We start from the raw sequence: 25286 nt of genomic DNA, 5'->3' as shown, positions 1-25286 counted from the left end.
GGTGGTTTTGCAGATGGATGGGAGTGGTGCAGGCACTTTGTTTTCACATGGCTTCTTTCCCCAAGCAGTAAGCCCCTTCCAACATTGCCAAAACATCCTGCAGTTTTTACCAGGGTTCCTGCGCTGAGGGCAGAGCTGAGTGCAGATCAAAGGAGAAAGAGAAAGAAGTTGGAGGTTTTGTTGTAATGTAAGACAGTTTCATCAGCCTATGGATTTAAAAGTCCAGGCTGACTTACCTCTTCCTTTCCTATAGATTGCTCAGGAAATATGGTTATTCTAGTACGTGCTAAGCATCGTTGTAAAAAGTAAGCCCACAGCCTAAAATACTTTGAATGTCTTAGACAAATGTCCAATGTTTGCTACGGTTTTGGATTATCAAGGCCACTCCTTACCTCTATGAGTAGCCAAGGGTAGTGCTCTAAGCTGTGAGCTAGCTTCTCTCAGAGATGCCCACAAACATAAACACCCCTTTTCAAAGTAAGCTGCTATGGACTCATAGGACTGGAAAATACTTCAGAGAGTAATCCCTCCATTTTATTAAAGAGAATACTGAAACCTGGGGAGCCTTGATGACTTCAAGATGGACTGGAACCTGGACCTTTTGTCTCCTAGTTATTCCTTGCATCCCTAGTCAAATTTTATTTCCTTTAAAAAATGTATTTACTTTTATTTATTATTTTATTATTTTTGAGACAGGTGTCTCGCTTTGTTGCCCAGGCTGGTCTCAAACTCCCGGCCTTAAGTGATCCTCCCACCTCAGCTTCCCAAAGTGCTGGGATTACAGGCATAAGCCACAGTGCCCAGCCCAGATTTTATTTCTAAAGCTCACTAAGAATCCTAATTTTTTTTTTAAAAGACAGGGTCTCATTCTGTTGCCCAGGCTGGAGTACAGTGGCACTATCATGGTTCACTGCAGCCTCAACTGCCTGGGCTTAAGCAGTCCTCCCACCTCAGCCTCTCATGTAACTGGGATCCCAAGCACATACACACCATCATGCCCTGCTAATTTTCTTATTATTTGTAGAGATGGGGTCTTGCTATGTTGCCCAGACTGGTCTCAAACTGCTGGGCTCAAGGGATCCTCCTGCCTCGGCCTCCCAAAGTGCTGGGATTACAGGAATGAACCATTGAGCCTGACCCAAAAATCCTAAAAGTATCTCCTAAATTTATCTGTTCTTGACACCACACCAAGGCATTTGGTACTGCAAGCTAAGGACAGGAAAGCCCCTGGTTTTATACTGGCAGAAGTTGGGGAAGAAGGGACAAGGATCTAGATGATTGTAAACCCCCTGGATGGGATGCATGGGAAATGGCTCCACATCATCTCTCCACCAGACTACATGGAAAAGAGTTTGTGCACCTCTGCTTGTTTTTACGCAGAGTTGTAACTGGGTGGGCTGGACACTTGAAGGATTCATTGGCTGTCAACTCCACCTGCCACCAAGGACTACCTGTCTTGAGCCATGGGCTGAGTTAGGCCCCCTGTCCCATCTACATTCCTAGAAAGGAAAAGTAGCAAGAAAGGGACAAGAAACAAAATTTTACAAACTCTAATTCTTAACTTGACAGCTTTTTGTATTTCTGCTCTCACTGGAATGTGAACTATTCTTCTGAGAAGTTTGGCAATGCGGAAAAGAAGAGATGAGATAGAAAAACAGAATTTTTAAAGTTCTTTTGGGTCAGGCGCAGTGGCTCACGCCTGTAATCCCAACACTTTGGGAGGCTGAGCAAGGTGGATCACCCGAGGTCAGGAGTTCGAGACCAGCCTGGCCAACATGGTGAAACCCCGTCTCTACTAAAAATGCGAAAATTAGCTAGGCATGGTGGCGGGCACCTGTAATCCCAGCTACTTGGGAGGTTGAGGCAGGAGAATCACTTGAACCTGGGAAGCGGAGGTTGCAGTGAGCCAAGATCGTGCTATTGCACTCCAGCCTGGGTGACAAGAGCAAAACTCCAGCTAAATAAATTAATTAATTAATTAAAATAAAATAAAATTCTTTTGAAAATTTCATAGTCCGTTTCCCAGATTAGGAAAAGGAGAACAGAGCTATTGTTTACTCAGCAACTACTGCATGCCAGGCTCATTTAAACCTCACATTAGCCCTGTGAGAGATCAGGGCCTTCAAGATAAAAATGCTTTCAGATGAGCTAAGGATGGGCGGGGGAGACAAAGATAAGGACACTGTGATTCAGAGAATTAAGTAACTTGCCCAGTGGGCCTCATTTGGTACAGGAATAGGGCTTTTATTTTATTTTTTTAATGATTTGCGAATCTGGCAGCCTTCTGAGCCAGAGTAGGCTCAGAAACTCCTAGGAATGTGGCTTTAAGCCTAGGTGCGTCTGACACAAAATCAGGTGTTCTTCCTCAAATCTACAAGGCCTAAATACAAAGAGAGCAGTTTAGAACAGACTCTTAGATTCAACAGAGGGAACTGGGTGCGGGCATACAAATCAGAGAATTTAAAAGAAAAAGGCAAAAAGTCAAGGTACCACCTAAACACTGTCTACGCTGCCTCCACCCTCCTGCCAAACAGCATCCCTTGAGTTCAAGAATTCAGTTTCAGCTCAAGAACAAACTTTTTATGGGTGGATGCTGGCTGAGCCAAAGAGGAATTACTTCAACAATCATTTGTTGCATGACCTTTTTTGGTGTTTTGTTTTGAGAAGGAGTCTTGCTCTGTCGCCCAGGCTGGAGTGCAATGGCGCAATCTAGGCTCACTGCAACCTTCACCTCCCAGGTTCAAGCGATTCTCCTGCCTCAGCCTCCCCAGTAGCTGGGATTACAGGCACCTGCCACCACGTCCAGCTAATTTTTGTATATTTAGTAGAGTCAGGGTTTCACCATGTTGGCCAGGCTGGTCTCGAACTCCTGACCTCAGGTGATCCACCTGCCTCGGCCTCCCACAGTGCTGGGATTACAGGCGTGAGCCACCACACCCTCCCTATTGCATGATTTTTATTTGCAAAACAAAACCCACAACATAATTCCTGCAACCAAGAAGTTTATAGTCTAATGGGGAAACCAGATATTGAACACATAATAAGAAACTTCATCAGAATTGAAATGTATGGAAAACGCACTAGTCTCCTGAAGGACGTAAAAAAGAAATCCAATTGGCAGGAAACAGTGGCATCTTCACGCGGACTTGGATAGGTGGGGAAGTGGGTGTAGGTACGAGGAAGTGGAAGGGAAGGCACCAGCCTTCAAGACGCTCCTAAGTGCTGTCGCTGAAGCTGTGGAGACTATAACTTAGTCTGAGAGAGACAAGAGAAAGAGAAGGCCCGGGCGCAGTGTTGAAGGGAAGTTTTGTTTAGAGCTGGACCTTGTCAGTCTGGAGGAGAGGTGAGGAATAAGGGGGACGGAGCGGTGGAAGATTAGAGTAGAATCATACTAACATAATAAATCACATCATTAAAATTAGTCCTAGGGTTAATTATATACTAAAGGTGAAATGGGCAAGGTCATCGATAGCACAAGCGGAGGGCGACTGCCTTGGCAAGAAGTTGGGATCAATCCTGAGAATGGAGGGGAGGGCGGGTGTGATTTTAAAGGACTGACATGGAGTGGAGGAAAGTTGAGGGCACTGGATCGTCTGGCTTTGTGGAAAGTGAAATCATATTTCAGGCCTGAAGGGCTGAGGCGGTTACTAGCTTTACAAGAGTTGGAAAAGCCTGGGAATGTGTCTGGAGCAACTGTGAGCACACTCAGCAGAGGAGGCAGGCGTGGGTAATAGCTACCAACAGCTCTGTTAGCCACGGGGCGGATGGGGCCCTGAGAGGTGCCACGGATGCACCCAGGGCAGCGCTCGGCACAGCTGGACCGGAGACGCACCACCCCTGGGAGCAGGTGGCAGCGCCCGCAGCCGAGAGAACGGGTGCGCGCGCGCGCTGCGGGATGCGGCGCGGGCGGGGCGCGGGGACGCGGAGCGAGTAGCGCCATGGGCAGCCGGGATTGGGGGGCGGGCCCGAGTGAGCGGGCCTCCGCGCGGCACTTGGCACGCACGCGCAAACTGGCCGCGGGGCTTGGAGGTACAGAGGAGGGGGAGCGAGAAAGAGGGGGGTGTGGAACGTATTTCCGCTCTGGCGGACAAATAATCCCGGCCAAAGAGGAGGCAAGGCCGTCCGGCCCTTTAACCGCGTGGGGGTGCTGGTGAAGAAAGGGGGGTCGGGAAGGGGGGATCCTGCTCCTTTAATTCCCTCCCCTCTTCCTCCTCCCCGAGTCCTAGCCGACGCCGCCGCCGCCGCGCGCGCGGGGCCTGGAACACACGGCACGAGCCGCCCCCGCCCCTCCCCCCTTACGCCCACGCGGAGCCGGCCCCGCGCGCGCGCGCGTCCCGTGCATCCCCGCGCCTGCGCGCTGCCCAGGCCCTGCCCGTGTGTGGGGGTCGCTGCCGGCCCCGGGGGGGGGTGGGGAAAATAAGGGATTAAAAAAACAGCGCGCGGAACCGGGCCAGGTGAGAGGAGCGTGCACTCAGGGTCGTGGGGCTGGGGGGGCGTGCCACGGAGCTCTGAGCGTGGGGGCAGGGCGTGCACGGTGCGTGCTGGCGGCGGGGGGGAGGACGTGAAAAGCGCGTGCAAACGTGTAAGGGGGGGGCGGAGGAATGAGGCAGCCGGTAAAGGGGGCGGGGTGAGAAGAGCCTGCAACCGGGGCCACCTTGGAGTCCAGAGCCCCAGGCCTCTGGCCCCCCTTTTTCTCCGTCCTTCCACCGTGGGCGCGCGGGCTCGCCCCATCCTAGCGGGCTGCTGGGCTGGGGGGTGTGGACGCCGCTGCCCCGCCCCCGAGAACCACGCCTCCCTCCTCTCAGAGGGACAGCACCTCCCCAGGGTTGGGGAAACTGAGGAAGAAATCTGAAGACCGGGAGATCGGATGCCGGGGGGCTGGGCAAGAATGGGGGCGAGGGTCCTGGAGCCTTGGCTTCGGAGAGCCAGAGACCTTTGTCTCTGACCGGTTTCCTTCCCAACCAGGGTTGCCCACCCCCGCCACAATGGCCTCTGGGGTGGAAGTCCTGCGCTTCCAGCTGCCCGGCCACGAGGCCGCAACGCTACGGAACATGAACCAGCTCCGGGCAGAGGAGCGGTTCTGCGACGTGACCATTGTGGCCGACAGCCTCAAGTTTCGAGGCCACAAGGTCATCTTGGCCGCCTGCTCACCCTTCCTGCGGGACCAGTTCCTGCTGAACCCCAGCTCGGAGCTGCAGGTCTCCCTGATGCACAGTGCACGCATCGTGGCCGACTTGCTCCTCTCCTGCTACACGGGCGCCTTGGAATTCGCTGTTAGGGACATCGTCAACTACCTTACAGCCGCCTCCTACCTGCAGATGGAGCACGTGGTGGAGAAATGCCGGAATGCCCTCAGCCAGTTCATTGAGCCCAAAATAGGCCTCAAAGAGGATGGGGTCAGTGAGGCTAGCCTTGTGAGCAGCATCAGCGCCACCAAGTCCCTCCTCCCTCCAGCCAGGACCCCAAAGCCAGCCCCGAAGCCCCCACCCCCACCTCCTCTACCCCCTCCACTCCTGCGGCCAGTGAAGCTGGAGTTCCCACTGGATGAAGACTTGGAGCTGAAAGCCGAGGAAGAGGATGAGGATGAGGATGAGGACGTGTCTGACATCTGCATCGTCAAGGTGGAGTCGGCCCTGGAGGTGGCACACCGGCTCAAACCCCCTGGAGGCCTGGGAGGGGGTCTGGGCATTGGAGGCTCCGTGGGTGGCCACCTTGGGGAGCTGGCCCAGAGCAGCGTTCCCCCCAGCACTGTAGCCCCACCGCAGGGTGTGGTGAAGGCCTGCTATAGCCTGTCGGAAGATGCAGAAGGGGAGGGCCTGCTGTTGATTCCCGGAGGCCGGGCCAGCGTGGGGGCCACCTCGGGCCTGGTGGAAGCAGCAGCGGTGGCCATGGCTGCCCGGGGGGCGGGGGGCAGCCTGGGGGCGGGGGGCAGCCGGGGACCCCTGCCTGGGGGCTTCTCAGGTGGAAACCCCTTAAAGAACATCAAGTGCACCAAGTGCCCGGAAGTGTTCCAGGGCGTGGAGAAGCTGGTCTTCCACATGCGGGCGCAGCACTTCATCTTCATGTGCCCTCGCTGTGGCAAGCAGTTCAACCACAGCAGCAACCTCAACCGCCACATGAACGTGCATCGTGGTGTCAAGTCACACTCGTGCGGCATCTGCGGCAAGTGCTTCACACAGAAGTCCACCCTTCACGACCACCTCAACCTGCACTCGGGAGCGCGGCCCTACCGCTGCTCCTACTGCGACGTGCGCTTCGCCCACAAGCCTGCCATTAGGCGGCACCTCAAGGAGCAACACGGCAAGACCACGGCCGAGAACGTGCTGGAGGCCAGTGTGGCCGAGATTAACGTCCTCATCCGCTAGCCGCGCAGGCGTGGAGGCCAGGAGGCTGGGGCCCCTGGGCTGCGTGGAAAAAGGGCTCTTTGGCCCAGGAGAATTGGGGGGTGGGGGGTCTGGGGCAGAAAGGTAAGAGTGGGAGGCTGAGCAGATGCACACATCCTGAGAGAGGGAAGATGATTCCTTGGAGAGACTTGCTCTTGAGAGTGCAAGAATCTGGAGCTGGGAAAAGGGTTCTTGGAGGCCAGGGGAATACGGGGTCCCAGAGAAAGATTTCCTTCTCTTAGAAGTGCATGTATATGTGGAGGGAGGGAAAAGGGTCCTATAGAATGAGGGAAGACAAAAATGTTTTATTCCTGGCTAAGGCTGCCCAGGGGAAGGTTCTGACATTTCTCGAGATAAGAAGGGTTGGGGGGTGGGTGGGAACAGGGAGGGAATTTGGCAGGAGGACATGCTCCTGCTTAGAATAGACCTGGGGTGAGGGAGTGGTAAGGGGAAAAGATTACTGAGTCCCAGAAAAGGAAGTGGGAGACAGTTCTTGCATGCTGGGGAAATGAGACTGCGAGTATGAGGCTTGCTGAAATTTGAGGGAGAACAAAGTAAGACGCCAGGTAAGAGAACGTGGGGTGCGCATCCTGGGTAGATATTGGGAAGTGGGGGTACAATAGCAAGAAACAATGGATAGTCATGGGGGTGGGGGGGATAGGGCACTTAGAAAAGAAAGAACACAAGAAGGGCTGTTGGGAGGGAGGGAGAGGAGTAGAGACATACAGTATTTTTTAAGAAAAAACATATTTTTTAGGATTTTTTCTGGAGTTTGGGGTTTTAGTTTTTCTGCTTTTGTTTTCCACAAAATAAAAAACAAAAAAAAACTTTTTTTTTTCCTTTACACTCTGGCAACTGCGTGTACATGACTATCCTGCCCTAGACAGCCTCTCCCTGTGATGCTGCGTTCTTAATACCTAGAGGTCACAACTCTGCATATCCCTTGCCTGAAGGAGCCCAGCCCTAAACATGGGAGAGGAGTGTGACAAGTGAGCTCCTCTGGTCAGGGACTCCCCCAAGTCCCCACCCCCAGCCCTCCACCAGTTCTGCAATCTCAACACTTAGCCAGGTACCTCACAGTACAAGTGATTGGCAGTCGTGGGGATGCACATGAACTCTATTTGAGGGACTTAGGATCAGTGCTAGGGATGAGCTACAGGTGGCCAACCTGCCCACGGAAATTGTAAGCAGGAGTCTGTTTGGTCATATTTTGTCTGGGGTAAATAGGTCATGTCTTCAGGAAAGCTAAAAAAAAAAAAAAAAAGCTAAGTTTGGATTAAGGTGCAGGGAAAACTACAATTCCCAGAAAGCTCTGGAATAGTTAACCAAAGAGAACTACAGTTCCCAGAAGGCCTTTAATTGGCCTCAGGTGCCCCACCTGCCTGTGTCAAATACTGCGTGTGAAATCATACAGATCTTTTCCAAACTCGACCAAAACGTAATACCTAAAGGGATGGTACCCTAAATACAGCTATCGAGATTGTCTATCTTGGTGTATATCATTTATACTTAAATTGTCCGCTGGGCTATGACCCACGGAGTACCTGACTGTGCTTATGAAGTGTTCGGCAAAAAAGGTTTACTTACTGCAGTGTCACCAGTCAGTAATGACGTTCGGGCCGCTGGGCTTACCTGGATCCCTAGTGCGTGTGAAGGTGTAACACGCCTGATATAAACAGAAGAGACATTTAGCCACAGGTTTTCAGAAGGGCACGCTGCTCCAGGGGACATGAAGCAGCATGCTAGAACCAGCCAAGAATAAAGGTGTCCTCCGCGTCCCTATCGCCCCTTCGTGCTCGTTAGAAAGAGCAAAAAGGCGAGGCCAAAACTGAGGCCAAGCCTTCTATCTGGTAACCCAAAAACTAGAAAGGCAGAAAAGCAACCAGAGGCGGGAAAAGCCCAACCAGGCCAGAGGAAATACAGCCGCTGCCGAGAGCCGAGAAGTTCAGAAGCTCCGCTTGTTACCTAAAACCAGATGGGGACAGAGACGCCACACCTGGGCCCAGGCGTGTCTCGCCCTCGGTCCCTGCAGAACTGAGGCCAGGAATGACAGGAATTCTCCCTTGCAGCTCCCAGCTTAGGACAGTCACAGCCATCTCCGAGGCCGCTCTCAGGGGAAAATGGCCAAAAAGCATGTAGCGGCTCCTTTAAGGCTCCTCCTCGCCCTCCCTCCCTCGCCCACGTGACCCGGGGCGGCCGCGCGCCGGCTCGGCCCCCAGCGCAAGCGGCGATGGCGGCGGCGGCGGGAGCTGCAGCGGCGGCGGCCGCCGAGGTGCGGAAGGGGAGGGGGAGAGGCGGGTGCATGCCCGCGCGCGCGCCCGGGGGAAGCGCGCGCCCGTGCAATGCTCCGGGGGTGCAACGGGGCCGGGGGGCCCGGGCGGGACTTGCAGCAATCCAGGGGGCCAGCACCGGGGGCGGATGAGGGGACCAGGGTGTGGGAGGTGGGGGGAGTGGGCACGGAGGCGCGCGTGCAGCCGCCGGCTGCCCCTGAGTGGGCGACGGGCGCCGGGGCCCCAGGAGCACGCGTGAGGGGCACGAGGGGCCGTCCACCGGGCTGGGGGGCAGCGGGTGCTGGAGGGGTTGGTGCCCGGGGTCCCCGCGGCCTGGGGGACAAAGGGGGAGCGGCGCGTGCAGCCGGGAGGAGGGGGCGGGGCCGGGGCGCGGAGGCCCCGCCCCCTCCCCCTCCTCTTCTCTCGGCCCCAGAGATGCGGGGTCTACCGAGAGGGAGGGGGTTGATGCGGGCCCGGGGGAGGGGTCGTGCGGCCCCTCCGGGCAGCCGAGGCCGCGGAAGGGGGGGGCCCCACAGAGGAAGAGGTAGGCCCCGGAGCCTACTCTCTCTTCCCAGGGCCCAGGCATCCTGGACCCCCCAACTCTCTACTGGGCTGACCAGCCCTCCTGTCCCTTGTCTCCCCTCCCAGGGGGAGGCCCCCGCTGAGATGGGGGCGCTGCTGCTGGAGAAGGAAACCAGAGGAGCCACCGAGAGAGGTGAGTGCAGCTAAAACGGGCCCCAATTGGACCGTCACCTTCCCTAAACACAGGATCTCCTGAGCCCTTAGCTCTGAACTTTTTCTCTTCCTCTACAGTTCATGGCTCTTTGGGGGACACCCCTCGTAGTGAAGAAACCCTGCCCAAGGCCACCCCCGACTCCCTGGAGCCTGCTGGCCCCTCATCTCCAGCCTCTGTCACTGTCACTGTTGGTGATGAGGGGGCTGACACCCCTGTAGGGGCTACACCACTCATTGGGGATGAATCTGAGAATCTTGAGGGAGATGGGGACCTCCGTGGGGGCCGGATCCTGCTGGGTGAGAGGCTGGGTAGCCTGGGGGGTTGGTGGGAAATTTCTGACTCTTGCCTTCTTTCTTATCTTGCCTTTTGCTTGCCTGTTTTCTAGGCCATGCCACAAAGTCATTCCCCTCTTCCCCCAGCAAGGGGGGTTCCTGTCCTAGCCGGGCCAAGATGTCAATGACAGGGGCGGGAAAATCACCTCCATCTGTCCAGAGTTTGGCTATGAGGCTACTGAGTATGCCAGGAGCCCAGGGAGCTGCAGCAGCAGGGTCTGAACCCCCTCCAGCCACCACGAGCCCAGAGGGACAGCCCAAGGTCCACCGAGCCCGCAAAACCATGTCCAAACCAGGAAATGGACAGGTGAGTGGGATGGGAGAGATGGGATAATCAACCATAAACCTTTGGTGAGCTCTTTTACAGTTTCACTTAAGGCTTCTACTCCATTTACTCATTCACATATTTAAGCAAGGGGCTGCTGTGTGTCAAATATTAGGCTGTGCTTGATCTGTGAACCAACAGACAGGTTCCTCTCTTCCTGCAGTTTACATTCTTGGGTGGTGAAAGTTTGATGTTAAAGAGTCAATTATATAGTTAATGTCTTAATTACTCTTATGATAATGACAAGGTAAGGGAATTTCAAACCACTCTTCCTTTCTACCTCAAAGCAAGCCCTTGGGGAACTCATCTGTCACTGCTCTATTTGTAAAGTTTTTCCTGGGAATCCCAGTGGGAAAGGAGATGAGGGCCACAGAAATAATAGAGGAGGGAAGTGACAAGGGCACCAGAAGCTTTATGACCAAGTTCTAGGGTTCTTGGGTCATACCTATTGTTGACCTAAAGGAAAAAACTGAGGCAAACTTAACATTAAGTAAAGTATATTTGGTCAGGTTTTGAGGACAGCCTTTAGGAGCAAAGATTCAAGTTGCCGTGAAAATACACTCTGATTAGCAGCAGTTATAAGTAGGGGTTTTTTTGTTTGTTTTGTTTTGTTTTTGAAGACAGTTTCACTATGTTGCCCAGGCTGGTCTCAAACTGCTGGGCTTCAGCAATCTTCCTGCCTTGACCTCGCAAAGTGCTGGGATTACAGGTGCAAGCCACCACAACCAGCCCACAAGTAGGTTTTTAAAGGAAAAGAAGATTGGATGACGTGAAGATATTGAAAAAAAACAGGCTGACTCTGGGCACACTGCGTAGGAGTTAGCCCTGCTCTGGAAGGAGCCGCAAAAAGAAAAAAAAAAAGATAAAAATTTTTTAAAAGATTGAAGAAATAACAAAGGAAAAGAAGAGGCAGTTCCTAAATTGTTTACCAGTTTACATTAGAATAACAAGCTATTGATCTGCTATACATTGTTCTTTGTCTCACAGATATTAGGCACATGAAGATAATGGGTGAAGCAGCACCCTAGTCAGGTACAAAATGCCTTTAAGCAGTTGCCTCCAGGCATGGGCCCTAACCGTTCCATGCTGACTTCTCGCTGAGCCTGATCAATTTTGCCTGCTTCACATAGCACAGGTTGCTATGAGCTACCTTTCCTTTCTCACTATGATAAACATTAATTTTTATAGTTGCAATTCATTTTGTAAAGAATAGGGAAGAAAAGGAAAATTGAATTTATAAATTAGGTACAGTGAGAGATTAACAACAATAATAACATAATAGCGTAATCCTAACAGTAGGCCAGGCGTGGCTTGCCTATAATCTCAACACTTTCAGAGGCCAAGGCCGGCAATCACTTGAGGTCAGGAGTTCGAGACCAGCCTGGTAAACATGTCCAAACCCCGTCTCTAACTAAAATAATAATAATAATAATAAATTAGCCAGGTGTGGTGGCGTGCGCCTGTAATCCCAGCTAGTCGAGAGGCTGAGGCAGGAGAATCACTTGCAGTGAGCCAAGATCGCGCCACTGCGGTTCAGCCTGGGCAACAGAGCGAGACTCAAAAAAAATAGCACAATTCTAACAATATGCCACCATCACTGCTGATGAACTGGATAAGAGGGGACTAGTGTCACGTAAAATTTACCATCTAAAAAACAATTTTAGGCCAGGCGCAGTGGCTCACGCCTGTAATCTCAGCACTTTGGAGGCCGAGGCGGGAGGATCACCTGAGGTCAGGAGTTTGAGACCAGCCTGGCCAACATAGTGAAACCCTGTCTCTACTAAAAATACAAAAATTAGGCCAGGCGGGGTGCCTCACGCATGTAATCCCAGCACTTTGGGAGGCCAAGGCAGGTGGATCACCTGAGGTCAGGAGTTCGAGACCAGCCGGACGAACATGGTGAAACCCCATCTCTATTAAAAATACAAAATTAGCCGGGCATGGTGGTACATGCCTGTAACAGTCCGCTACTTGGGAGGCTGAGGCAGGAGAATCGCTTGAATCCAGGAGGCAGAGGTTGTAGTTAGCCGAGATCCTGCCATTGCACTCCAGCCTGGACAACAAGAGCAAAACTCTGTCTCAAAAAAAAAAACAAAACAAAAATTAGCCGGGCGTGGTGGCATGTGCCTGTAGTTCCAGCTACTCAGGAGGCAGAGGTGAGAGAAACGCTTGAACCTGGGAGGTAGAGGCTGCAGTGAACTGAGATCGCGCCACTGCACTCCAGCTTGGGCAACAGAGTGAGACTCCATCTAAAAATTTAAAAATAAAATAAAAAACATTTTTAAGTATATAATTTAATGGTATTAAATACTTTCATCATGTGCAATCATCAGTCACCATAACTCATCTTGTAAAACTGAAACTCTGTACCCATTAAAACATAACTCTCCATTCCCTCCACCCCCTAGCCCCTGGCAAGGACCACTGTCCTTTCTTTCTCTATAAATTTGAGTAAGTACTTTATCTAAGTGTAATCATACAGTATTTATCCTTTTGTGACTGGCTTATTTCACTTAGCATAATGTCCTCAAGGTTCATCTATGTTGTACCATGTCAGAATTTCTTTCCTTTCACCTGGGCAGCATACCAAGACCCCATCTCTAAAAGAAGTTTAAAAGAATGTTTCAAAGGCCAGGCCCAGTGACTCACGCCTGTAATCCCGTACTTTCTGGGGAGGATCACTTGACACCAGGAGTTCAAGACCAGCCTGGGCAACATGGCAAGACCTCTTCTCTACCAAAAAAAAAAATTAAGAAGACATTAGTTAGGCATTGTGACATGTGCCTGTAATCCCAGCTTCCCAGGAAGCTGAGGCAGGAGAATGGCTTGAGTCCAGTTCGAGGCTGAAGTGAGCCATAGTCATGCCACTGCACTCCATCCTGGGTAACAGAATGAGACCTTATCTCTTAAAAAAAGTATATCTTTCCTTTTTATGGCTGAATGTTATTCCATTGTGTATAAATGCCACATTTTGCTTATCCATTCATCTGTCAGTGGCACTTGAGTTGCTTCCGCACCTCAGCTGTTGTAAACAGTCCTGCTGTGTATATGGCCACATATAAAAGGTCTTTTAACTTTATTAAGCTTTGTTTTCTCATCTGTAAAATGGAAAAGGGCCTGCTCTGCATGGTTGCAGAGATGAGTGAGTGTTAGTGTGCTTGACACTCTTCCTCTGAGGAAATAGCACCCGTGGTTGCCAGTTTGTGGCTACTGGAGCCTCACATGGCATTTGGAGGTGTGGCTCACTACCCCACCCCCGCCTGGGGCTCCAGGCTAACCCAGGCAAAACTGTAGGTGCTCTCTGACCCTCAGTGTGCTCCCTCTCGGCCCACAGCCCCCGGTCCCTGAGAAGCGGCCCCCTGAAATACAGCATTTCCGCATGAGTGATGATGTCCACTCACTGGGAAAGGTGACCTCAGGTCAGTCCCATCCCCCACCCCCGGTGGCTTGATGTGGTCTGTTCTGAAGGTTTCGGTGATAGGCCCCACACCATTCTCTCTCTTCTTCCAGATCTGGCCAAAAGGAGGAAGCTGAACTCAGGAGGTGGCCTGGTAAGCAGCAGAGGCAGAGCCTCTACCCCTCGGGGGCTGCTCTGAGGGAGGGTCAGAGGTGGGGCTGCATCCCATCCTCAGTAGAAATGCGCAGGGTGTCAGTGGCCTCAATTTTTCTGATCTTTTTCTAGTCAGAGGAGTTAGGTTCTGCCCGGCGTTCAGGAGAAGTGACCCTGACGAAAGGGGACCCCGGGTCCCTGGAGGAGTGGGAGACGGTGGTGGGTGATGACTTCAGTCTCTACTATGATTCCTACTCTGTGGATGAGCGCGTGGACTCCGACAGCAAGGTGAGACAGAGCTGGTCTGCCCTCCCCGCCGGTGCTCCCCCAGGGCTGGGGCTCACTGTCCAGTCCTCCTTGTTCCCTGTTTTTCTGCTTTCTGTCCTTTTTATCTTCTGAATATCCACTAAGTCATTGCCCCATGCTGTCTATAACTCCTTTTTTTTGTGGGGGGAGACGGAATCTCATTCTGTCGCCCAGGCTGGAGCGCAATATCACGATCTGGGCTCACTGCAACCTCTGTCTCCAGGGTTAAAGCAATTCTCCTGCCTCAGCCTCCCGAGTAGCTGGGATTACAGGCACCTGCCACCACGCCCGGCTAATTTTTGTATTTTTAGTAGAGACGGGGTTTCCCTGTGTTGGCCAGGCTGGTCTCTAACTCCTGACCTTAGTTGATCCACCCACCTTGGCCTCCCAAAGTGCTGGGATTACAGCTGTGAGCCACCGCGCCCAGCTGTAACTCATTTTCAATGTGTATTCTGCCCGTTTCATCCACAAAGGTGGCCACCACCCTGCACATGGGATTTAGTATTCTTTTTTTTTTAATCAGCTAATGAAATGACCATTTAACAGACATGTACTGTTTAAAAAAAGAAAACAAAAAAAGAAATGACCAGAAAGCACTTTTTTAAAACATACGTTATGCTGTTTATATAAAATTCAAAAGCATTGCATTGTCATTTATTTGCTTATTTCGTTGCTCTTTGTCTGGTTTTATCTTATATGTTTGCCTACACAGTAGAATGTTTAGTCTCTCTGATTTTGCCTTTTATTTAACATTTTATCATGAAAACTTGCAAGCATAATCAAAAGAGTAGAATAGGGAGCCCCCATGTACCCAATACACAGCTCCAGCCATTATCAGTACACAGTCCATCTTGACCCATCTGTACATCTCCCAGCACACACACCTACTAGGTTATTTTAAAGCAAATCCCAGACCTCATATCATTTTACCTAAACATATATCCATATAGATTTGTAAATATAAGGCCTCTTTTTGTCGTTCAACATCATTACACTACTGTTTTCACACCTAAAAAAACTTACCGATTTCTTAATACCATCAAATATCCTGTCAGTCTTCACATTTCCTCAGCTCTCACAAATGGTTTTTGTCAAGATCCAAATGAGGCCCACACCTTGATTTGATTAACATTTGTCTTAGGTCAGCCAGGCACAGTGGCTCACGCCTGTAATCCCAATACTTTGGGAGGCCAAGGCGGGCAGATCACGTGAGGTTGGGAGTTCGAGACCAGCCTGATCAACATGGAGAAACCCCGTCTCTACTGAAAAAAATACAAAATTAGCTGGACGTAGTGGTACGTGCCTGTAATTCCAGCTACTCGGGAGGCTGAGGCAGGAGAATCGCTTGAACCTGGGAGGTGGAGGTTGCAGTGAGCCAAGATCGTACCATTGCACTCCAGCCTCGGCAACAAGAGCGAAACTCCGTCTCAAAAAAAAAAAAATTTTTTTTTGTCTTAGGTCTCTCTCAGTATTTAGGTTTCCCCATCTTCTTTGTGTTTGTTTGTTTGTTTGTTTTTGTTTTTTGAGATGGAGTCTCACACTGTCACCCAGGCTGGAGTGCAGTGGCGTGATCTTGGCTCACTGCAAGCTCCACCTCCTGAGTTCAAGCAATTCTCCTGCCTCAGTCTCCCAAGTAGCTGGGATTACAGGCACCCACCACCATGCCCAGCTAATTTTTTGTATTTTTAGTAGAGGCAGGGTTTCACTATGTTGGCCAGGCTGGTCTCAAACTCCTGATCTCGTGATCTGCCCACCTCGGCCTCCCAAAGCGCTGGGATTACAGGCGTGAGCCACCACACCTGGCCTGATTTCCTCATCTTCTAAAAAAAAATTTTTTGGCCCAGGCGTGGTGGCTCACGCCTGTAATCCCAGCACTTTGGGAGGCAGGTGGATCACCTGAGGTCAGGAGTTTGAGACCAGCCTAGCCAACATGGTGAAAACACATCTCTAATAAAAATACGAAAATTAGCTGGGTGTGGTGGCGGGTGCCTATAATCCCAGCTACTCAGGAGGCTGAGGCAAGAGAATTGCTTGAATCCAGGAGGTGGAGGTTGCAGTGAGCTGAGATCACACCATTGCAATGCAGCCTGGGCAACAAGAGCAAAACTCAATAAATAAATAAGAAAGATTTTTTTTTTTTGCCATTTATTTGTCAAAGAAACCAGCTCAGTTGTCCTACAGAATTTTTCACATTTAGGAGTTGGCTGATTGGGTGGAGATTGACACATCCTCTCTGCCCATATTTCTTGTAAACTGATAGATCTAGAGGCGGAATCAGCTTCAGGTGCCAAGAAGACTTGACAGTGGGTGCAAGTGCTTCTGGCCACATCACATCAGGATGCATGGAACATCTAATCTGGTCATTTTTCTTGTTAGTGATAAGATTGACCAGTGGGTTCAGGTGATGTCAGCCTGAACCTTTCATATAAAGTTTCTCATGAGCTTTGTGTCTAGTGTTTTTAGCAACCATTGGTGGTCTTGCCTGTTTATGAACATCATAAAAGGGGTATCAAAGTATGTTTATCTTCTGGTACTTGCTTTTTGTTTTTTAACTTAATATCACATTACCAAGATCTGTGCACATTGCTGTCTGTAACTTTTTCACTGCTGTGTAATATTCCATGCACCCTCTCTTTATGTGGCCCTTTGTCTCCTCTGCTACCCACACTTATCCCCAGCAGCCATCCGTGGGTAGTGGCGGGGGGCAATGGTGGTGGTGGTTTTCTTTACTCACCTCATTGTCTGAGTCCTGGGGGTTGGATATGTCTGTTCTGCCTCTCTCCCAGTCTGAAGTTGAAGCTCTAACTGAACAACTAAGTGAAGAGGAGGAGGAGGAAGAGGAGGAAGAAGAAGAAGAGGAAGAGGAGGAGGAAGAGGAAGAAGAAGAGGAAGATGAGGAGTCAGGGAATCAGTCAGATAGGGTAAGAGACGGAGGCTGATATCTCCAGAGGAGTGGGAGACTATGGGGCTGGAGGTCTGGTCCTGAAGGTGTTGGGGGGGCCCCTGGGGGTGAGGGTTCCTAACTCCTCCTCCTCCCCCTTCCCAGAGTGGTTCCAGTGGCCGGCGCAAGGCCAAGAAGAAATGGCGAAAAGACAGCCCATGGGTGAAGCCGTCTCGGAAACGGCGCAAGCGGGAGCCTCCGCGGGCCAAGGAGCCACGAGGTGAGGAGGCTCTGCTGCTTTTGGGTGCCCTCCAGCCCCCGCCCGGCCCCCCAGAGTGTGTGCACGCACACACACGCTCTCGCATGTCCACCTGCATGTACCCACGCGTCCAGGCACCTGTGAGCTCGCACTCTCACTCTCTCTGTCTCTGTGTCAGGAGTGAATGGTGTGGGCTCCTCAGGCCCCAGTGAGTACATGGAGGTCCCTCTGGGGTCCCTGGAGCTGCCCAGCGAGGGGACCCTCTCCCCCAACCACGCTGGTAATTGCCAATTGCCGGGACAGGGAGCCACTAGGGGGCGACCTCAGGGCAGGAGGGAAAGGGAAGGAGGGGAACCACGCCAGAGCCGGGGTGTCCATGGCCAGGCTTTAGGGGTTCTGGGGCATGGCGGGGTGGGGTAGGGAGGGAGTGAGAGGACCCGCCAGGGGTCCCAGTAGGTGAGGTGCAGAGCCTCCCTCAGCTCCTCTTTTCCTCCATCCAAGGGGTGTCCAATGACACATCTTCGCTGGAGACAGAGCGAGGGTTTGAGGAGTTGCCCCTGTGCAGCTGCCGCATGGAGGCACCCAAGATTGACCGCATCAGCGAGAGGGCGGGGCACAAGTGCATGGCCACTGAGAGTGTGGACGGAGAGGTGGGGCCGTGGGCTGGTGGGAGAGGTGCCAGGGCGTCCAGTCCCCGGCCCCAGCCTCACGCTCTCTTCTCACCCATCCTCACTGCGCACAGCTGTCAGGCTGCAATGCCGCCATCCTCAAGCGGGAGACCATGAGGCCATCCAGCCGTGTGGCCCTGATGGTGCTCTGTGAGACCCACCGCGCCCGCATGGTCAAACACCACTGCTGCCCGGGCTGCGGCTACTTCTGCACGGCGGTGAGTGACCAGTGGGGCAGACAGGTAGCATGCCCTGTGGCAGAGGGGGCCCCAGTAACCTGACCATGTCGTTTCCCTGCTCCCAGGGCACCTTCCTGGAGTGCCACCCTGACTTCCGTGTGGCCCACCGCTTCCACAAGGCCTGTGTGTCTCAGCTGAATGGGATGGTCTTCTGTCCCCACTGTGGGGAGGATGCTTCTGAAGCTCAAGAGGTGACCATCCCCCGGGGTGACGGGGTGACCCCACCGGCCGGCACTGCAGCTCCTGCACCCCCACCCCTGTCCCAGGATGTCCCCGGGAGAGCAGACACTTCTCAGCCCAGGTACTGGCCTCCCCCTTCTGTACTGTCTGTTCCCTCCCCCACCCCTATTGCTCCTGGACATGAGCTCCTTCTTCCACAGTGCCCGGATGCGAGGGCATGGGGAACCCCGGCGCCCGCCCTGCGATCCCCTGGCTGACACCATTGACAGCTCAGGGCCCTCCCTGACCCTGCCCAATGGGGGCTGCCTTTCAGCCGTGGGGCTGCCACTGGGGCCAGGCCGGGAGGCCCTGGAAAAGGCCCTGGTCATCCAGGAGTCAGAGAGGTGAGTGGGGAGTTGCTCAGGCACAGCAACTGGGGCTGAGGCCAGAGGAGTGGTGTCGAGGCTGATGCTGGAATCTGAGGAGCTCCCCTTCTCTCCCCGCTCCCGTGCTCCCTTGGCAGGCGGAAGAAGCTCCGTTTCCACCCTCGGCAGTTGTACCTGTCCGTGAAGCAGGGCGAGCTGCAGAAGGTGATCCTGATGCTGTGTGAGTGCCACCCATTCCTTCAGCAGACCTTGACCAAGCTTCATGTATATACCAGGCACTGGGTACAGGGCCAGGAGTACAGTCGTGAAGGACACAGTCCTTGCCCTGAAGGACTTAGTGTGGTGGGGAAAAGACACATGTAACCCATAACGATGGGGATGTGGTGACTCATAGGTGCTGGGTCCTGTTCTGAGTGCTTATACCTGTTAGCCTTGGCTTGCACAGAGAGGTTAGGGACCTTGCACAGTGCACAGTGGTACTGAGAAGCAAGGCAGGGTTTGAATTCAGGCAGAGCTGATGCCTTTGACTCCTTATTCTGATAAATGCTGTGGTGGAGGCAAGCTCGGAGAATGCCAGGAGGGGCCCTGATCCAGCTTGGGGCCCTGAGAAGCCTTCCTGAAAGAAGTGCCACCTGCCCCCTAGCTTGCTTACCACTTGTCCCTCCCTCTCCCGGTGTGGCGGGCTCTCCCCGCAGTGGACAACCTGGACCCCAACTTCCAGAGCGACCAGCAGAGCAAGCGCACGCCCCTGCATGCAGCCGCCCAGAAGGGCTCCGTGGAGATCTGCCATGTGCTGCTGCAGGTCAGCACGGGCCCGGCCCCATGCCTCATTCACCAGGCCCTTAGGCCCCTCCCCTGCCCCATGCCTCCCTGGTGCCAGCCCTCCTGCCCCCTCACAGGCTGGAGCCAACATAAATGCAGTGGACAAACAGCAGCGGACGCCACTGATGGAGGCCGTGGTGAACAACCACCTGGAGGTAGCCCGTTACATGGTGCAGCGTGGTGGCTGTGTCTATAGCAAGGTGTGCGCGCAGGCAGCAGGGCGTGGCCCCCGGAGTCAGGGACCAGGTTTGGGGTGCCAGCCCAAAGGCTCATTTGCCCGTGTCTCCCTCAGGAGGAGGACGGTTCCACCTGCCTCCACCACGCAGCCAAAATCGGGAACTTGGAGATGGTCAGCCTGCTGCTGAGCACAGGACAGGTGGACGTCAACGCCCAGGTCAGCGGCCCACCCAGCCCAGCCCCTCTGGGTCCCTGGTGCCTGGGTTCCTTGGCTTGGCCTCAGGCTTTGGGCCGCCTTTCCTACATCTGACCTCACACTGCTCGTGTCTGTCCTCATTGCTTTCTTCTTCCTCATTTGTATTTCTCTTCATTCTTTTCTTTCTCGTTTCTTTCTCTTTATCAAGTTTCAGAATAATCAGTTCCTGTCTTAATCTCTGAAAGTGTCCAGTGAGGCTTTTTATTAACTCTTGGGTTGTCATACATTGGATGTGTTTTAGTCATTTATTGGCATTCTTCTCAGTCTTTGAATTATTCCATCATTGTCCAGAAGAAGCCCCTTTAAGAGGCCTCTGTGGCTGTGACATGACCCAGTGGCCCAGTGGCCTTTGAGAGCCTCCTGACCTTTCAGCACATTTCCTGCCCCCAACTCAGAATCCACCATTTCTCTAAGAAACTCTGCTTCCTTTATGGGAAACTTTTTTTTTTTTTTTTGAGACGGAGTCTCACTCTGTTGCCCAGGCTGGAGTGCAATGGCGTGATCACAGCTTACTGCAAGCTCCGCCTCCCAGGTTCACGCCATTCTCCTGCCTCAGCCTCCCGAGTAGCTGGGATTACAGGCGCCCACCACCATGCCCGGCTAATTTTTGTATTTTTAGTAGAGACGGGGTTTCACCATATTGGCCAGGCTGATCTTGAACTCCTGACCTCGTGAGCCACAGCGCCCGGCCAGAAGCATTTTTTAGAGAATACAATCTATGTTCCTAGGAGTGTTTATTGTTATTGGGTTGTCGCTGCTTCTAGGACTTTTGAGTGGGCAGACTTAGGAAATTTTTGTTCGTTTTTTCTTTTAAGAGACAGGGTCTTGCTATGTCACCCAGGCTGAAGTACAGTAGCAGTTCACAGACAGTCATAGCTCTCTGCAGCCTCGAAATCCTGGGCTCAAGCAACCCTCCCATCTCAGTCACATGAGTAGCTGGGACTACAGGCATGCACCTCCATGACCAGCTCCTGGCTGTATTTTTTGGAAAGAGAACAATTACTTTATTTTCTCTCTGGCATCAGATGGTAGACGCTACTAGTCCCATTTTTGTTTGTTTGTTTTTTGAGACGGAGTCTTGCTCTGTCGCCCAGGCTGGAGTGCAGTGGCACGATCTTGGCTCACTGCAAGCTCCGCCTCCCGGGTTCACGCCATTCTGCCTCAGCCTCCCTAGTAGCTGGGACTACAGGCGCCTGCCACCACGCCCAGCTAATTTTTTCTATTTTTTAGTAGAGACAGGGTTTCACCGTGTTGGCCACAATGGCCTCCATCTCCTGACCTCGTGATCCGCCCGCCTCGGCCTCCCAAAGTGCTGGGATTACAGGCATGAGCCACCGCGCCCGACCCTACTAGTCCCATTTTTTAGATGAAGAAACTGCGACCCAGAGACGTTAAGTGACTTACCCAGGGTCCCACAGCTTGTGAATGGTGGAGCTGGGATTCACACACACAGCCAATCTTGACCATTTGCTGCTTTGGTGAGCAGGGCCAGCTGCCCCCACCCTCACTCCCTTCCCACCCACAGGACAGTGGGGGGTGGACGCCCATCATCTGGGCTGCAGAGCACAAGCACATCGAGGTGATCCGCATGCTACTGACGCGGGGCGCCGACGTCACCCTCACTGACAACGTGAGTGAGCGTTTGGTTGAGGTAGGGCAGCCCCAGGCCCCTGAGCAAGGTGGAGGCTGGATTCAAGGGCCCAGCTGCCTGCACCTCATCTGTTCCCCTCCTACCTCCACAGGAGGAGAACATCTGCCTGCACTGGGCCTCCTTCACGGGCAGCGCCGCCATCGCCGAAGTCCTTCTGAATGCGCGCTGTGACCTCCATGCTGTCAACTACCATGGGGACACCCCCCTGCACATCGCAGCTCGGGAGAGCTACCATGACTGCGTGCTGTGAGCCCCTGCCCCGCCCTTGATGCCCCTGCCCCCACTTCTTGCAGCCTCAGACCCTGCATTGGGCATCCTGTCCCCTCTTCAGGTTATTCCTGTCACGTGGGGCCAACCCTGAGCTGCGGAACAAAGAGGGGGACACAGCATGGGACCTGACTCCCGAGCGCTCCGACGTGTGGTTTGCGCTTCAACTCAACCGCAAGCTCCGACTTGGGGTGGGAAATCGGGCCATCCGCACAGAGAAGATCATCTGCCGGTGAGCCCTGGGCCCCTCTCTGCACCCAAGACCACCTCCTCCCCACCCATACCCTCCCCAGGCTCCATTGCATCCTCACAACATTCCCCAACCCCTCCCCATGCACCACTGAATCCCCAGAACCACCCACAGGCCCCCTCCCCACTAGGGTTGCCAGATACAGCAAATAAAAATAGAAGACACCCAGTTAAACTGGAATTTCAGATGCACAGATGCATACTTTTTTAGTGTGAGAATGTCCTGTGTAATTTTTGGGACATACTAAAAAGCTATTTCTTGTTTATCTAAAATTCTATGTTAACTCGCTGTCCTGCATCTTACCTGGCAACCTTACTCCCCTGCCCCCAGCCCCAGGAACCTCCCCAACTCTCTTCCTTATACCTGGAGTAGCTCCTCACCCCCTTTTCCAGCTTCCCAGCCCCTTCTTCCCGTCTTCTGCAGGGACGTGGCTCGGGGCTATGAGAACGTGCCCATTCCCTGTGTCAACGGTGTGGATGGGGAGCCCTGCCCTGAGGATTACAAGTACATCTCAGAGAACTGCGAGACGTCCACCATGAACATCGATCGCAACATCACCCACCTGCAGGTGAGTAGGGGGCCCGGGGCCTCCCCAAAAGGACACCGAGAGCTGCCAAGTACAGTTGGACAAGCTTCAAACCAGCAAAGGCACCTGGCCAAGGAAGGGTTGGCTGAAAGGGAGCCCTGGTGTGGGGTCGCATCCCCACCAGGGGAGGGATCCTTTTCCTAGGTCACAGCAAGGTATCATATGAGCTCCCAGTAGCCCTGGGGACACCACCATACTGATTACCCGTCACCCTAGGACCATCACCACCCACTGTTGTAACACATGGACCCCAAAGAAAGGACAGTGGTTAGGGGGTCAGGGGGCATCAAGAGTAGAGGGGCCCAGACCGATCATGGGGTTGAGCTGACCTCTGCCTCCTCGCCCCAGCACTGCACGTGTGTGGACGACTGCTCTAGCTCCAACTGCCTGTGCGGCCAGCTCAGCATCCGGTGCTGGTATGACAAGGTGCGTGCCCCTTGCCTTGGCCACAGACACCCGGCCCCTCCTTCAGAGGAGCCAGCCTCCAATAAACCAGCTCCCTGGGACCATGTCCCTCACCTCCTACCCTGTGGGGGAAGTGACTGAGAGGACTGGGCAAGGCCTGGGAATCCTGGGATGTGGCTGGGACAGCGATGGGCGTGTGCCCAGGTCTATGCAAACCAGGGATGATGCTCCTGCATTTCGTGCTCTCGGATCTCAGAGCCTGTGTGACCTCCCCAACCCCAACTTCCCTGTCTCTGTAGAGTCTTGGGGTTCCTGGGTGGGCAGCTGAGGTGGGCCCCACAGAGAAACCACTATCCTCCCCTCCGCACCCTAGGATGGGCGATTGCTCCAGGAATTTAACAAGATTGAGCCTCCGCTGATTTTCGAGTGTAACCAGGCGTGCTCATGCTGGAGAAACTGCAAGAACCGGGTCGTACAGAGTGGCATCAAGTGAGGCCCTGCTCCACAGCCCACCCTCTCCCCACCTCACCCTTTCCTCCCTGCCCCTGGGGCTTTTCCAGGGCCTCCACCCAACAGCGCCATCTCTCCTACCCCCAGGGTGCGGCTACAGCTCTACCGAACAGCCAAGATGGGCTGGGGGGTCCGCGCCCTGCAGACCATCCCACAGGGGACCTTCATCTGCGAGTAAGTCACCGGGAGCACCTTAACACCTGGTGGGAAGGGGATACATGGCCACTGCTGACTGCCAGGCCTCCCTCTCAGCCATCTGCCCTGATGAGTCACATGTCTCCATCTGGCCACTCTCCAGCCAGCCTCCTCTGACCCCTATTCCTGCAGCTGAGCAGCCAGCCGCCTCTGACCCCCATCCCCCCAGCTGAGAATGGCACCTGCCTCCACTCTGCCCAGACCACAGAGCTTGTCTTCCCTCCCCTCCACCTCCACCCTCTACCTTCCCCTCCACCCCCTCCTCGCCCTTCCTAGCTGGAGAAAGTGCCAGTTTGGGAGACAAACAGACTTGGGTTTGAGCCCCTCTCTGCTTCTGGATGTTCTTGGCCAAGTTACTTAACCTCTTTGAGCCTTATTTTTCTTGTCTGTAGAGTGGAGGTGATAACAGCTACCTATCTGTCCACCTCCTCAGGGGCCTGTCCCTCTCCATCAGTTCTTTCTCTGCCCAGCATCTGTAATCTCCCCCTTTCTCTTGGCTGCCATCCCACAACCCTCAATCTTACTTTAGTCTCCTTTGGCTCTTTTTTTTTTTTTTTTTTAATTTATTTTTTGAGACGGAGTTTCACTCTTGTTGCCCAAGCTGGAGTGCAATGGCACAATCTTGGCTCACTGCAGTCTCCACCTCCCAGGTTCAAGCGATTCTCCTGCCTCAGCCTCCCAAGTAGCTGGGATTACAGGTGCGCACCACCACACCCGGCTAATTTTTTGTATTTTTAGTAGAAACGGAGTTTCACCATGTTAGCCAGGCTGGTCTCCAACTCCTGACCTCAGATGATCCGCCCACCTCGGCCTCCCAAAGTGCTGGGATTACAGGCGTGAGCCACCGTGCCTGACCATTCTTTGGCCTTTAAAAAAGATAGTCCTCTAACCATACTTGCCTGTTCAACAGACCATCCAGTTTCTTTCCATCATGTCATCTCTCAACTTCTCTGGCAAGCAGCCCCTTCCTGCTGGGCCTCAGTTTCCCCACCATCCACTCACTGCCTGTCCCTGCCAAAATCGGCCTTTGCCCTTCCCACTCTGCTGAAGCTGTCTCTTGACAGTCACTTCCCACCCACGTCCTCTCCGTGTGTCTGAATCTCCCATGTCTGCTCACCCTCCTTAGATAGCTGGCTCCTCTCCTCCCTCTGGTGTCCAGATATGTGTGGGTGCTCTTGCCCCGAATCATGCCTTGAGTTCCTTGCCACTCCTGTACCTCTGGCTCTTCCTGCAGTCCTGGCCCCTCTCCTGTTCCATATCGCCCATTCCTGCCGGGTGGCTCCTGGAACACAAACCTCTCTGTGTCCAAACCCGAACTTCCCCACCCAGGCCAACTGCCCCTACACATTAATCCCCTTAACCACAGAGCTTGTTGTCTGTCTCTGTGCTGACTGAAGGCTTCCTCTGTCAAGGCTGGAATGCTGCCCTTTCACTTGCCCACCACTGCTGCTCCAGGCCTTCCCTTCCCCACACCTGCCAGCCCTGCCCATTCCAGATTCCACAGGCTTGTGAAGAGAGATGGGGCCTGGAGCCACCTCCTAATAGCCCACACTCACCTTCAGAACCATGGATTCCTGTCCCACAGGTATGTCGGGGAGCTGATCTCTGATGCTGAGGCTGATGTGAGAGAGGATGATTCTTACCTCTTCGACTTAGACAACAAGGTGAGCAGG

General features: G+C 53.5%; 3 protein-coding genes and 1 long non-coding RNA gene across 17 annotated transcripts in view, besides 2 other annotated features; 2 read left to right on the top strand and 2 right to left on the bottom strand.

Moving 5' to 3' along the window:
• The window catches only part of C2 (complement C2), a 47890-nt gene extending 39382 nt beyond the window's left edge, over positions 1-8508 (bottom strand). Inside the window, exon 1 of one of the 2 annotated variants that reach the window (NM_001282457.2) lies at positions 8349-8508. Coding sequence is in view for 1 of the 2 variants with exons in the window: in NM_001178063.3 (NP_001171534.1) it covers positions 5152-5224 (73 nt within the window). In the remaining variant the exon portion in view is untranslated. Of the gene's footprint in view, positions 1-5151; positions 5293-8348 lie in introns of those variants that run through there. The other variant, NM_001178063.3, reaches the window with a different exon arrangement.
• On the top strand, positions 4205-6678 carry ZBTB12 (zinc finger and BTB domain containing 12). Its single transcript, NM_181842.3, has 2 exons — positions 4205-4454; positions 4966-6678. The coding sequence occupies exon 2, from the start codon at positions 4986-4988 to the stop codon at positions 6363-6365; it is 1380 nt and encodes a 459-aa protein (NP_862825.1). The 5' UTR covers positions 4205-4454; positions 4966-4985; the 3' UTR covers positions 6366-6678.
• Positions 8076-8670: an enhancer, noted in NCBI's record as "H3K27ac hESC enhancer chr6:31865398-31865992 (GRCh37/hg19 assembly coordinates)". NCBI's record gives its function as "activates a minimal SCP1, AML or CMV promoter by ChIP-STARR-seq in naive H9 embryonic stem cells {active_cell/tissue: H9 hESC(naive)}" and the evidence as "EXISTENCE:reporter gene assay evidence [ECO:0000049][PMID:30033119]".
• EHMT2 (euchromatic histone lysine methyltransferase 2) overlaps positions 8593-25286 on the top strand; it is a 17940-nt gene continuing 1246 nt past the window's right edge. The window contains exons 1-27 of one of the 13 annotated variants that reach the window (NM_001318833.2): positions 8593-8655; positions 9302-9368; positions 9467-9685; positions 9775-10028; positions 12629-12929; positions 13381-13465; positions 13557-13597; positions 13729-13884; positions 16689-16823; positions 16949-17063; positions 17221-17322; positions 17544-17692; positions 17785-17928; positions 18015-18250; positions 18330-18512; positions 18632-18714; positions 19190-19296; positions 19394-19516; positions 19609-19710; positions 21275-21400; positions 21492-21646; positions 21732-21899; positions 22341-22485; positions 22852-22929; positions 23282-23397; positions 23506-23592; positions 25199-25277. In NM_001318833.2, the coding sequence (NP_001305762.1) occupies positions 13426-13465; positions 13557-13597; positions 13729-13884; positions 16689-16823; positions 16949-17063; positions 17221-17322; positions 17544-17692; positions 17785-17928; positions 18015-18250; positions 18330-18512; positions 18632-18714; positions 19190-19296; positions 19394-19516; positions 19609-19710; positions 21275-21400; positions 21492-21646; positions 21732-21899; positions 22341-22485; positions 22852-22929; positions 23282-23397; positions 23506-23592; positions 25199-25277 (2670 nt within the window). In that variant the 5' untranslated portion in view covers positions 8593-8655; positions 9302-9368; positions 9467-9685; ... (1 more) ...; positions 12629-12929; positions 13381-13425. Of the gene's footprint in view, positions 9369-9466; positions 9686-9774; positions 10029-12628; positions 12930-13380; positions 13466-13556; positions 13598-13728; positions 13885-16688; positions 16824-16948; positions 17064-17220; positions 17323-17543; positions 17693-17784; positions 17929-18014; positions 18251-18329; positions 18513-18631; positions 18715-19189; positions 19297-19393; positions 19517-19608; positions 19711-21235; positions 21401-21491; positions 21647-21731; positions 21900-22340; positions 22486-22851; positions 22930-23281; positions 23398-23505; positions 23593-25198; positions 25278-25286 lie in introns of all 13 variants that reach the window. The other 12 variants (NM_006709.5, NM_001395160.1, NM_025256.7 and 9 more) reach the window with 12 other exon arrangements.
• Positions 8754-9450: an enhancer, noted in NCBI's record as "H3K4me1 hESC enhancer chr6:31864618-31865314 (GRCh37/hg19 assembly coordinates)". NCBI's record gives its function as "activates a minimal SCP1, AML or CMV promoter by ChIP-STARR-seq in naive H9 embryonic stem cells {active_cell/tissue: H9 hESC(naive)}" and the evidence as "EXISTENCE:reporter gene assay evidence [ECO:0000049][PMID:30033119]".
• The window catches only part of EHMT2-AS1 (EHMT2 and SLC44A4 antisense RNA 1), a 6397-nt gene continuing 3197 nt past the window's right edge, over positions 22087-25286 (bottom strand). Inside the window, exons 3-5 of the long non-coding RNA NR_174947.1 lie at positions 25170-25230; positions 24731-24895; positions 22087-23618 (exon numbers count right to left, since the gene is read on the bottom strand). This is a non-coding gene — a long non-coding RNA (EHMT2 and SLC44A4 antisense RNA 1). The remainder of the gene's footprint in view (positions 23619-24730; positions 24896-25169; positions 25231-25286) is intronic.

Source organism: Homo sapiens, chromosome 6 (assembly GCF_000001405.40).
Source record: "Homo sapiens chromosome 6, GRCh38.p14 Primary Assembly".
NCBI classification, from domain to species: Eukaryota; Metazoa; Chordata; class Mammalia; order Primates; family Hominidae; genus Homo; species Homo sapiens.
Note: the sequence above shows the minus strand (reverse complement) of the source record. Positions and strands in the feature narration are given on the sequence as shown.